The sequence below is a fragment of the Homo sapiens genome, chromosome 1 (genome assembly GCF_000001405.40).
Source record: "Homo sapiens chromosome 1, GRCh38.p14 Primary Assembly".
In the NCBI taxonomy this organism is placed as follows: domain Eukaryota; kingdom Metazoa; phylum Chordata; class Mammalia; order Primates; family Hominidae; genus Homo; species Homo sapiens.
This window is the reverse complement of record NC_000001.11, coordinates 19,499,236-19,512,510: the sequence shown is the minus strand read 5'-3', so window position 1 is coordinate 19,512,510 and position 13,275 is coordinate 19,499,236. Positions and strand designations below refer to the sequence as shown.

General features: G+C 45.8%; 2 long non-coding RNA genes and 1 pseudogene across 5 annotated transcripts in view, besides 1 other annotated feature; 1 reads left to right on the top strand and 2 right to left on the bottom strand.

The window, feature by feature from the left end:
* The window catches only part of LOC105376819 (uncharacterized), a 47,268-nt gene that overhangs the window by 19,277 nt on the left and 14,716 nt on the right, over positions 1–13,275 (bottom strand). For 3 of the 4 annotated variants that reach the window (XR_947020.3, XR_001737920.2, XR_947019.1), the window contains exon 1: positions 12,148–12,290. This is a non-coding gene — a long non-coding RNA (uncharacterized LOC105376819). Of the gene's footprint in view, positions 1–12,147; positions 12,322–13,275 lie in introns of those variants that run through there. The other variant, XR_007065522.1, reaches the window with a different exon arrangement.
* Positions 28–2,621, top strand: LOC105376818 (uncharacterized). Its single transcript, XR_947018.1, has 3 exons — positions 28–70; positions 1,223–1,280; positions 2,583–2,621. It is a non-coding gene; the product is annotated as an uncharacterized LOC105376818 (long non-coding RNA).
* Positions 1,646–1,807: a silencer, noted in NCBI's record as "fragment chr1:19837198-19837359 (GRCh37/hg19 assembly coordinates)". NCBI's record gives its function as "represses an EF-1alpha promoter that drives an FKBP-Casp9 reporter gene in an ReSE screen in K562 erythroleukemia cells {active_cell/tissue: K562}" and the evidence as "EXISTENCE:reporter gene assay evidence [ECO:0000049][PMID:32094911]".
* On the bottom strand, positions 1,778–1,918 carry RNU4-28P (RNA, U4 small nuclear 28, pseudogene; annotated as a pseudogene).

Below are 13,275 nucleotides of genomic sequence, written 5' to 3'. Positions count from 1 at the left end.
CGGTTCAAGCAATTCTCCTGCCTCAGCCTCCCAAGTAGCTGGGATTACAGGAGCCTGCCACCATGCCCAGGTAATTTTTGTAATTTTAGTAGAGACGGGGTTTCACTATGTTGGCTAGGCTGGTCTCGAATTCCTGACCTCGTGATCTGCCCACCTTGGCCTCCCAAAGTGCTGGGATTACAGGCGTGAGCCACCATGCCTGGCCTGATCTTAGGTGGTTCTAAGGGGACTGAAATTTACAATCTTGAAGAACAATGGAGGTACAAGTGAGAACATCAACCAATAGTGCACATAAAAAGCACATGAGGCTGGGCTTGGCAGCTCACACCCATAATCCTAGCACTTTAGGAGGCCGAGGCAGGTGGATCGCTGGAGTCCATCCCCATCCAAATCTCATGTTGGTCTCCTGGACTCCAACAATCCACCTGCCTTGACCTCTCAAAGAATTATAGGCATCAGCCACCAAGCCCAGCTGTGTGTGCTTTTTATGCTATTGTTGATGTTCACACTTGTACCTCCATTGTTCTTCAAGATTGTAAGTTTCCTGAGTCACTGTCTACCAGTACAGTGGTGGACAGTGACCTGGGACAGACCAATCATAGTAGCCAAACTTTTCATCCAATATGGCTGGTCCTAGGGATAGGCTTGTTACTCAAGAAGGGCCAATCAGAATCCTTCTATGAGATTTGGAATCTCTCAGGAGGCAAGTTAGTATAATAGAGAAAGCATGAGCTTTGGTAACTGGAGCTATGGATTCTGGCTCATGGAGTTGGGCAAGTTTGTTTACTTCTTTAAGGATTAACTGAGACAAAATGGAGTACCTGGCACAGAGTAGATATCAGTAAGTGGCTTCTGTTGATAACCTTTATAATAAAAAACACTACTCTAATTAACCTTCCTCACTGTTCCACCCTGCTTGATCAACCTTTGCTCTGTAAAGCTCTTCTAAAAAGCTATAATTGGGAGACCTACCTTTTAGTGGGGAGGGCCATACTTAATTTTCCATGACCCTTGAGCTTTCCAGAGAGTAGAGAAAGGATGAGAGAGTAAAATCTCAGAATGGAAAGGTCATTGTCCAGTCCATCCACTGAGTACAAGGAACTGGGGAATCTTTCATTCAGCTAGAGTTCTAAAAATGGTCTTCAGCCTAGATGCTAGATCATTGCTGCCTCACAGAACTTCCTTCTCTGATGGAAATATTTATATCTGTGCTGTCTACCAGAGTAACCACAAGCTACATGTGACTACTGAGCACTTGGAAGAGGACTAGTGGAACTGAGGTACTGAATTATTTATTGATTTAAATTAATTTAAATTTACATATCCACATGGGGCAATGGCTACCATATTGAATAGAGCAGCTCCAGATTGGAGCATGGCATTAGCAGACAGGCACAGAAGTAGATGAGAATAATAGCCAGTGCTTACTTGGGCAGGAAAAGTTACTACGGCTTAGAAGCAGGTGAGTCTCCAGGTTTAGAGAGGTACTAAAGAAAAGTCATCTGGACAGGCGCAGTGGCTCATGCCTGTAATCCCAACACTTTGGGAGGTCAAGGCAGGCCGATTATTTGAGGTCAGGAGTTTGAGACCAGCTTGGTCAACACAGTGAAACCCCATTTCTGCAAAAATACAAAAATTAGCCAGGCATGGTGGCACGTGCCTATAATCCCAGCTGCTCAGGAGGCTGAGGCAGGAGAATCGCTTGAACCGGGAGGTGGAGGTTGCAGTGAGCCGGGATTGCACCATTGCACTCCAGCCTGGGCAACAAGAGTGAAACTCTGTCTCAAAAAAAAAAAAAATTGCCAATGCTGAATATGTTGCAAGTTGTCATGGTGGGGTATTGGGTAAAGTTTTCAATTAGCAATAATTGTGCCTTGGATAAACTTCATCGGCTATGATACTGCCACAGCACAAAACTTCTTAGCTTTTCTGTTTGTTTTTGTTTTGTTTTATTTTGTTTTGTTTTGAGACAGAGTCTTGCTCTGTCGCCCAGGCTGGAGTGCAGTGGTGCGATCTTGGCTCACTGCAACCTCCACCTCCTGGGTTCAAGCAATTCTCCTGCTTCAGCCTCCCGAATAGCTGGGATTACAGGTGCCCACTACCATGCCTGGCTAATTTTTTTGTATTTTTGGTAGAGATGAGGCTTCACCATGTTGGCCAGGCTGGTCTTGAACTCTTGACCTCAGGTGATCCACCCACCTCAGCGTCTCAAAGTGCTAGGATTATAGGCATGAGCCACCATGCCCGGCCCCTTGCATCGTTTTTAGTCATTGCAATAGTCTACTGACTACACTCACTATAAATCACATAACCATCCTCAATTTTTGTATTTTTTAGGATGTTTCCAATTTTTTTCAGAGTGACGCTAGGATGGGTGCCACATAACTTCCCCTGCACCCCCCACCATTTTTGTAAGGCAGAAGGAGCATGAGTTTTGAGGGCAGATAGACCGGGTTTAAATCTCAGCATTCATTACTTAGTAGCCACATGACCTCTGACAAGATCATTCATTTTCTTTCCCTCCCTCCCTCCCTCTCTTTCTCTCTTTCTTTCTTTCTTTTTTCTCTCGTACTGTCGCCCAGGCTGGAGTCCAGTGATACGATCTCGGCTCACTGCAATCTTCACTTCCCAGGTTCAAGCGATTCTCCTGCCTCAGCCTCCTGAGTAATTGGGACTACAGGCACGTGCCACCATGCCCAACTGATTTTTGTATTTTTAGTAGAGATGGGGTTTCACTATGTTGGCAGGCTTGTGTGGAACTCCTGACCTCAAGTGATCCACCCGCTTCAGCCTCCCAAAGTGCTGGGATTACAGGCATAAGCCACCATGCCCGGCCCACAAGATCATTCATTTTCCAGAGCCTCAACTTTTTCATCTATAAAATAGGAATAATACTACCTGCCTTTCCTGGTTGTTATCAGAGCTGGACATTTATAAATTGCCTCTCACACTACCCAGCACCATGGAAATATTTAATGAATTACAGCTAACGCTATTATAGTTTTCGTTTTGTTTGTTTTCTTTAGACATGCTGTCACCCAGGCTGGAGTGCAGTAGTGCCATCACTGCTAAGTGCAGCCTCAAACTCCTGGACTCAAGCAATCCTCCTGCCTCAACCTCCCCAATGGCTGGGACTGTAGGCATGCCACCATGCCCAGCTAATTTTAAAATTTTTATTTTGTATGGATGGTGTCTCACTATGTTGCCCAGGTTGGTCTTGAACTCCTAGTGTCAGAGGCATTTGAACCAGAGCAACTCAATCTTGAATAGGGGCTGGGTAAAATAACTGAGACCTCCTGGGCTGCGTTCCCAGGTTAGGCATTCTTAGTCACAGGATGAGATAGGAGGCCGGCACAAGATACAGGTCACAAAGACCTTGCTGATAAAACAGGATGTGGTAAAGAAGCCGGCCAAAACCCACCAAAACCAAAATGATGATGAAAGTGACCTCTTGTTGACCTCACTGCTCATGATATGCTAATTAGAATGCATTAGCATGCTAAAAGACACTCCCACCAGCTCCATGACAGTTTACAAATGCCGTGGCAATGTTCTGAAGTTATCCTTTATGGTCTAAAACGGGAAGGAACGCTCAATTCCTGGAAATCCCCATCCCTTTCCCAGAAAACTCATGAATAATCCACCCCTTGTTTAGCGTATAGTCAAGAAATAACTATAAGTACATTCAGGTGGGCAGCACATACCATTGCTCTGCCTATGGAGTAGCCATTCTTTTTTTTTTTTTTTTTTTTTTTTTTTTTTTGAGACAGAGTCTCGCTCTGTCGCCCAGGCCGGACTGCGGACTGCAGTGGCGCAATCTCGGCTCACTGCAAGCTCCGCTTCCCGGGTTCACGCCATTCTCCTGCCTCAGCCTCCCGAGTAGCTGGGACTACAGGCGCCCGCCACCGCGCCCGGCTAATTTTTTGTATTTTTAGTAGAGACGGGGTTTCACCTTGTTAGCCAGGATGGTCTCGATCTCCTGACCTCATGATCCACCCGCCTCGGCCTCCCAAAGTGCTGGGATTACAGGCGTGAGCCACCGCGCCCGGCCAACCATTCTTTTATTCTTTTACTTTCTTAATAAAGTTGCTTTCACTTCACTCTATGGACTTGCCCTGAATTCTTTATTGCACAAGATCCAAGAACCCTCTCTTGGGGTCTGGATTGGGACCCCTTTCCAGTAACACTGGCCTCAAGTGATCCTCCTGCCTCAGCCTCCCAAAGTGTTGGGATTATACGTGTGAGCCACCGCACCTGGCCTACTTTTTAAAAAAATCATAATCATTTTTGGCCAGGCGCAGTGGCTCATGCCTGTAATCCTAGCACTTTGGGAGGCTGAGGCGGGCAGATCATGAGGTCAGGAGATCAAGATCATCCTGGGTAACACGGTGAAACCCATCTCTACTAAAAAAAATACAAAAAAATTAGCCGGGCATGGTGGCGGGCACCGGTAGTCCCAGCTACTCGGGAGGCTGAGGCAGGAGAATGGCGTGAACCCGGGAGGCGGAGCTTGCAGTGAGCCGAGATTGGCCACTGCACTCCAGCCTGGGTGACAGAGCGAGACTCTGTCTCCAAAAAAAAAAAAAAAAAAAAAAAAAAACCATAATCATTTTTAGGAAGTTCAATTTCAAGGACCTCTCTGTTTCAAGAAGATTTCCCGATCTGTTTATGCTAACAGGTCTCATAGCCCATCTCTTCTGATTGGATCAGAATCCCCGACAGCTTAGAGGCTGGCAGGCTGAGGGTCCCCAAGGCATGAGAGAAGAGGGGGCTGTGGGGAACTTGGAGGAAGCATCACAGGAAGCTGCAGGTGGGCGGGAGGGGGATTCGTCCTGCTCCTACTAACCAAATGCACAGTCTTCCCCTCAAGCTTGCTTCTCCTCTGAGCTCTTTTGTGCCCTTGGTGATGGGTGGGGTAGACTGAGAATGGAGAACAACACAATGGTGGGAGAGGATGGGGTGGTGGAGTCGGGGGTTGGAAGAATCAGGAGGCACCCTTGTGTTTTCCCTCCAGAGGTGGCACCCCTGGGGTGGTAGATAAGGCATTGTGTTTGGAATTCAGCCCCATGGGTGTATGTAGCTGGGGTTCTAGTCCCTCCTGAGCTACCCTCGGCAAATTAGTATACCCCCGTTAGTCCTGTTTTCTGTGTCAGTTAAATGGCCAAGCTAATAATAAAGTCCACACAGAATTGGGACGCTCAAATAATAAACAATAGCACTGTCCCCAGGCATGGAGCAAATACTGCTTGCCAGGTTCTGGGCTGAGTAATTCCCACCCATTACTTCATCCGATCCTCACAACAGGCCCCAAAGGTAGGTGTTATTGTTTCTATTTTACAAGAAGGAACCCAGGACTCAAGAGAGGCGAAGGCTCCTTCCCATGCACCTCCCTCCTTTGTAATCTGGAAAGTCCTGGGTAGTTGTAATTTGTAGTTATGAATTTCTGGAGTTCTCAGCTCATTCCCTGGAGATTTGTGCTAGAAAGTTCTAGAAGATTGCAGAGTTTATTAAATAAATTGATTTGACAGGTATTTGTTGAACACTTTGCTATGGTCTGAATGTTTTTGTGTCCCTAATATTCATATGTAAAATCTTCACTTCCAAGGTATTAGGAGGTGGGCATTTGGGGAAGTGATCAGGGCATGAGAGTGGTGACCTCAGGATTGGGATCAGTGTGCTTATGAAAGAGACCATAGGGCACTAGCCAGCCCCTTCCACCATGTGGGGACACAGTGAGAAGGCACCACCTGTGAACCAGGAATAGGGCGTTCACCAGACACCAAATCTGCTGGCGCCATGATCTTGGACTTGCCAGCCTCCAGAACGGTGAGAAGTAAATTTCTGCTGTTTATAAAATGCTCAGTCCATGGTAGTTTGTTATAACAGCCCAAATAGACCAACACACCTGCTGGATGCTAGAAGTGGTTCTAGGTGCTTGGGATTCAGCAATGAACATCATAAAGCACCCTCAAAGAGGATACATTTTTGCATGCAAAGACTGAAAGATCAGCAACAAAGAAATATAAAATAAGACAAGGTAAGTGGGGAGTGCAATTTTTTGTCCAATGGTCAGAGAAGTAGGTTGTGCTCACCACTGTGACAAGATGGAAGCTGTGCTCACCACTTGCATTACAGTGTACAAGAATGTAATCTCCATAAGGACAGGGCCCTGGAATCTTGTTTCCCTTACAGCTCCAGTCCCTAGCACAAATTCTGGTTTCTAGTAGGTGCTCAATAAATATTTGTTGAATGAATGAACAAATAGCCTCAGTCTCAGATCTGCCGGAGAAATGTCCATTTTAGGGTAGGCATGGGATTTTGAATTCACCTCCTATGAGCTGACATTTATGGAGAAACTTGCGTGCCCCAGGCACTGTGCCAGCCTCCATGGCTGAGTACAGCCCTTCCCTTGAGCATCTTCATTGGAGAAGATAGCGGCGCTTGCAATTTAGTGGTCTAGAAGAGAAGGCAGCAAAGAGAATAAAGGAAGAACAGGAGTTAAGTGCAAAGAGGAAGCGTTTCAGGGTCAGCAAAGAATTCGGCAAGTGTATTGCCTGACATCTTTTTCTTGATGCAAAAAATAGCTAGTTCTGCTTTTTGGACTGGGGCTCGCTGAGTCAGGGGTTCAAAGAGAATAGCATGAGGATAGGAGCAGTAAATGTCATCTGCAGCAGATGGTGATGCCCCAGAGACAGACCGTGGCCTTGAAGATGCTTCCCTCCACCGACTCTGGCCCAAGAATCAAGGTCAAGGGCAGGCAACCGAGCTCAGCAACCTGGGGTCCCGATCCCAGCCTCTCAACTGGGCCAACCCTACCCAAGAACATCACCGTTGTTCCACCCGCTTGGACTCCACACCAGGCTCAGTGGAGTCTCAGAGTCCATGGGTGTGAGAAGAATAATTCCAGCATCTGTTATTAACCATCATTTCCATTGTTTTGGCTTCACTTTCTCTTTGGCCCTGAGAACACTGGGTCAGTGCTTCTTTGAGCACAAAACGACTGATTTGCCAGGTCTTTGTTCAGCCTCACAAAAGAAGGGGATGATTATTACAAGAACAGATTTTGCATTCCATATTTACCCCAGATGACACTGCCTTGATCCCTAAAATAACTCCAGATCGCCTGGGTGGAACTTGCTTGTTCCTTTTCATCTTGCTATTTTGCAATTGTTTATGGAGAACATCACCATAGTGATATTATCAGAGCAGGGCAGAATGAAACTCCAAACTCTGGGTTGTTATTGGTTTTTCCTTTGTACCTCGGAACATGACTTTTTCACCTCAAACCTTCTCTATTATTTCTTATAAGCATTACAGTTCTCAGTTCCAACTCAGCCAGCATCACTTTCTGACTCATCCCCAGCAGTTAAAACCACAGAGGTGGTCCACACTGGGATGAGGGATGGAAGTGCTTGGGTTGAGTTTCCAAATTGGAAACTATTTACCAGAAATCCTCTTTCCTTCAGATAAGACTGGGGTCAAAGTACTAGAGTGTTGAAAGAGGCACTAAATAAACTAAGAATCTAAAGGACCTTCAGTGTTTGGGCCAAGGAACATGGTGATAGAGTTCAACAAATAAACACAGCTGGCGTAGGGTGAGCCTTTAGCAAACACTTATCTTCTTGATTTTGTTTTTTTTTTTTTTTTTTTTTGCTCATAATTGTCAACTTGGCCCAAAGCCTTTATTATAGCATTCTCATACACTGCTGCCAGTGGTGTGTATTTGTACAACTTTTTAATGAAATTTGGCAATGAATAGCAAAAGTCTTGACAATGTAGCTCTTCCTTAGATGCAAAATTCTACTTGTGAGTGCTAAAAAAATAATTAGGGATATGAGCAGAAGGATACATACAAAGATGTTTATTGCTATTGATGGTGAAAAACTGGAAACAACCAAACTGTACAACATTAGGGGGTTACTTAAAAAAAATCAAAATACAGGACTGGCGCAGTGGCTCATGCCTATAATCCCAGCACTTTGGGAGGCTGAGGTGGGAGGAGCACTTGAACCTAGCAGTTTGAGACCAGCTTAGGCAACACAGTGGGACGCTGTCTCTACAAACAATTTTTAAAAAGTAAAACAACAAAAAAAATCATGACCCCCACTCCATGCAATGGATACTGAGCCACTATTAAAAATTATGCCGGTTGGGCGCGGTGGCTCATGCCTGTAATCCCAGCACTTTTGGAGGCCAAGGCTGGCAGATCACTTGAGATCAGGAGTTCGAGACTAGCCTGGCCAACATGGTGAAACTCTGTCTCTACTAAAAATACAAAAATTAGCCAGGTACAGGGGTGGGCATCTGTAATCCCAGCTACTTGGGGGGCTGCGGCAGGGGAATCGCTTGAACCCAGGAGGTAGAGGTTGCAATGAGCCGAAATCACACCACTGCACTCCAGCCTGGGTGATAAAGCGAGACTCCATCTCAAGAAAAAAAAAGACCAGGCGCGGTGGCTCATGCCTGCAATCCCAGCACTTTGGGAGGCCGAGGTGGGCAGATCGCAAGGTCAGGAGTTCGAGACCAGCCTGGCCAATATGGTGAAACCCCGTCTCTACTAAAAATACAAAAATTAGCCCGGCATGGTGATGGGCGCCTGTAGTCCTAGCTACTTGGGAGGCTGAGGCAGGATAATTGCTTGGACCTGGGAGGTGGAGGTTGCAGTGAGCCGAGATGGCACCACTGCACTCCAACCTGGTGACAATAAAAAAGATTAGAAGGATAAATTCAAAAAGATGAAAGTATTTCTTGGGAATTTTCTTTTCTGGTGCTTTTGTTTATAATTTTTCTACAATGGGCATGCATTTCTTTTCTTTTTTTTTTTTGAAACGGAATCTTGCTCTATCACCTAGGCTGGAGTGCAGTGGTGAGATCTTGGCTCACTGCAACCTCTGCCTCCTGGGTTCAAGCGATTTTCCCATCTCAGCCTCCTGAGTAGCTGGGATTACAGGTGCACGCCACCACACCTGGCTAATTTTTGTATTTTTAGTAGAGATAGGGTTTCCCCATGTTGGCCAAGCTGGTCTTGATCTCCTGACCTCAGGTGATCACCTGCCTGCCCCAGCCTCCCAAAGTACTGAGATTACAGGCATGAGCCACCGTGCCCGGCATTGTTTTTTTTTTTTTTTTTTTTTTTTTTTTTTTTTTGAGAACGAGTTTCCCTCTGTTGCCCAGGCTGGAGCACAGGGCATGATCTCAGCTCACTACAACCTCTGCCTCCTGGCTTCAAGCAATTCTCTGCCTCTGCCTCCTGAGTAGTTGGGACTACAGGCATGTGCCACCATGCCTGGCTAATTTTTGTATTTTTAGTAGAGATGGAGTTTCACCATGTTGACAAGGCTGGTCTCGAACTCCTGGCCTCAAGTAATCCACTACTTTGGCCTCCCAAAGTGCTGGGATTACAGGCATAAGCCACCACACCTGGCCACTACAATGAGCATGTATTTCTGTAGTCAGATGTTTAAAACGCTATTTTTTCAGAAAAATAATAAGCTGCCAAGCTTTTTTTTTTCCCCCATAAAGAAAGAGCTTAACAGACACAAGGCTGACCACGCCATGTGGGAGATGGAGTTAGCACTCAAATCATCTCCTCCAAAGTTCCTAGGTTAGGAGTTTTTCAAAGGCAGTTTGGGGAAAGAGGGGGGAGGTCAGGTAACTGGGGCTTGCTGCTGATTGATTGGGGCGGATGAAATCATAGGGAGTCTAAACTGCCCTCCTGTGAGCTGAATTCCTTCTGGGTGGGGCCACAGGAGTGGGGTTGGGAGGTCCAGGTGGAGCCATGGGGGTCAGACATGCAAAACCCCACAGATCAGGAACCCTATACAGGGACTGGGTAGACAAGGTATAAGGCCAGCTTTCCTGAGGAGTTTTATTGGCCCTATAAGTCAACTTTGGTTTCTTAGAACAGTCTGTTTGTATCTGAAAGCATGCCATTCTAGTCAAAACCTTGATAAAATAACCAGTGTCTTCAATTGCATCAGTTCCACAGGCTTAACAGGAAGCATGACTAGGAGGCCTCAGGAAACTTACAATCATAGCGGAAGGTGAAGGGGAAGCAAGCACGTCTTACCATGGTGGAGCACGAGAGACAGTGTGTCATGCCTTTTAAAATAATCTTGGCCGGGAGCAGTGGCTCATACCAGTAATCCCAGCACTTTGGGAGGCCAAGATGGGCGGATCATTTGAGGTCAGGAGTTTGAGACCAACCTGGCCAACATGGCGAAACCTTGTCTGTACTAAAAATACAAAAATCAGCCAGGCATGGTGGCACAAGCCTGTAGTCCTAGGTACTCAGGAGGCTGAGGCATGAGAATCACTTGAACCCGGGAGGTAGAGGTTGCAGGGAGCTGAGATCGCACCTTTGCATTCCAGCCCAGGCCAACAACAGTGAGACTCTGTCTCAAAAAAAAAAAAAAAAAAGGCCCAGCGTGATGGCTCATGCCTGTAATCCCAGCACTTTGGGAGGCTGAGGCAGGTGGATCACCTGAGGTCAGGTGTTCGAGGCCAGCCTGACCAACATGGTGAAGCCCTGTCTCTACTAAAAAATCCAAAAATTAGCCAGGCATGGTGGCGGGTGCCTGTAATCTCAGCTACTCAGGAGACTGAGGCAGAAGAATTACTGGCACTTGGGAGGCAGAGGTTGCAGTGAGCCGATATTGTGCCATTGCACTCCAGCCCTGGCCAACAACGGCAAGACTCCATCTCAAAACACACACACACACACACACACACACACACACACACACAAAACACAAAAACCTCACAGCAATTGTATGAGATAGGTATCATGCTCTCCATTTATAGAAGGGAAAAGTAGGTATAGAAGGAGGTTTTAGTCTCCCGCTCCTTCAACATTTCAGGGAGGAGGTAGATGCAGTTATTCAGGTAAGAGAGGGATAGAGCTTCTGAGACTAAATAGTTAAGATAGGAAGGTACAAGTGGATGGAGAACGAAGACCTACAAAAGCCTTTTACCTAGACTGGTAAACATTCAGGTTGCAAGCTGGAGAAAATAATAATTTTAACTACCCTGCTTTGAGCGCTTGGGGATGATGTTGACATAAAAATGAGGATTACAGAGTGTCATTATATTCAACCTCACTGGCTAGTGGGAAATGGTGGAAGTTCTGTAGGAATATATAGCGCCGATGCACCAGAGAGTAAATTACACAGAAGCCCAGAGTCTATTATCGTTGTGATCATCACTCAAAACATATAAACACCTCCTTGTTTGGGGTAAGGTAGAGGAGTGAAAGTGCATAGGCTGTGGGACCAGACAGACCTCCACTGAAATCCTGCCTTACCATCCACGTATTAATAGCTATGTGATCTTTGTCCCACTTCACCAGCTTGGCCTTGAGATCCCTGTGGCACCTTCACACTTTTATGGAAATCCTGCTTCGATTTTTTTTTTTTTTTTTTTTGAGACGGAGTCTCGCTCTGTCACCCAGGCTGGAGTGCAATGACATGATCTCGGCTCACTGCAAGCTCTGCCTTCCGGGTTCACGTCATTCTCCCGCCTAGCTGGGACTACAGGCGCCCGCCACCAGGCCCAGCTAATTTTTTTTTTTTTTTTTTAAGTAGAAACGGGGTTTCACAGTGTTAGCCAGGATGGTCTCGATCTCCTGACCTCATGATCCGCCCACTTCGGCCTCCCAAAGTGCTGGGATTAGAGGCGTGAGCCACCGCACCTGGCTGGAAATCCTGCTTCGATTTATCATCCCAAACACTTCCTGCTATATTGAAAGCTATCATAGGAGCTCTTCAGACCTGAAGTCGTTGGGGGTAATGCTAGCTGATGGAACAAAGAACTCCCAACTTTGAGTGGCTTACTGCTATGATAAAGGTTTACTTGCCCCCAAAGGCACAGTCTGGTTGGGTGTTTTCAGCGACTACCATGGAAACAGATACAGGCTTCTTCCATCTTGGAGTCCTCCCTTAGGTCCTCTGCATTCAGTTTATTGATGAACAAAGAAAGAGTGTGCGACAGGACACAAGGGCCATTTTATCGCCATGCCTGGAGATGGCACATGTCACTTCCGCCCACATTCCATTAGTTAAAACACAGTCACATGACCATATGACTATGTTTGTGCCCAGAAAGACGAAATGGAAAAGGTAATCATGCAGCTTATTAATGCTAGCATACCTGTATCAGTTGTAGGTAATGTGGGGTAGAGAATGAATGGTCATTAAGGTTAAAGCTCTTGCTGTGCACCGTGGCTCATGCCTGTAATCCCAACACTTCAGGAGGCCGAGGTAGGAGGCTTGCTTGAGTCCAGGAGTTTGAGACCAGCTTGGGCAACATAGGGAGATCCTGTCTCTACAAAAAATTAAAAGATTAGTAGGGTGTGGTGGTGCATGCCTGTCGTCCCAGCTACTCTGGAGGCTGAGGCAGAAGGATTGCTTCAGTCAGGAGGTCAAGGCTGCAGTGAGCTATGTTCATGCCACTGTACTCCAGCCTGGGCAACAGAGCAAGACCCTGTCTCAAAAAAAAAAAAATAGAAAAGATTAAAGCCCAAGAGAACTGCAATGGCAGTTGTCCAAGCAATGGTGTGTGACAGACAGAAATCACTGGCAGTCAGTTTTTCTTGACAGATACAGATTTTAAGCTGAGCCAGATCTTATAGGATCTTAGGTCACATATGTCTGATCCAGTGTGGCAGTTTTAAGCTGCAAAGAGGCAGCAGCTATGAAATAGGCCCTATCACCATTGACATTGCTCTGGGACTCTCTGCTCAATCATCCTAACTCTCTGTGCCCCTCAGTTTCCCCCTTTACATTTTGTTCCCAATCTGCCAAGCCTCAGGCTTGGTGATTCATTTTCCCCACTTATAGTCTCACTTTACACAGCTGGACCAGATACTCAACATCGTTTCTCTGACCTCTGTTTTTCTTTCAGACCATAATCTGGAGTCTTTCTGACTATAATGCCATTGATTGCCTTACTGATTGCTTCAGATAAATAGGTCATCAGGTCTAGTCTGGTCTTGGGAGTTAAGAATCTCAACAAAGGTCCTTTTATGCTATACACTCCATTTTTTCACTTAAACAAAAATATTAAGCTGATATGTATGTTTATTTACTTGGAAGGATTGAAACTTATAGACAGAATGCCTTTTCTTATAAAAAATTTAATGTCCTGTGTATGTTTAAATAATGCTTTACATAGCTCTGAAATCTTTTTCTTAAATGGTATCTTTGGAAGGGCAGAATTTTCTTGTTTTCATCAAATCCAATTTATCATTTTTTTCTTTTTTAGTTAGTGCTCTTTGTA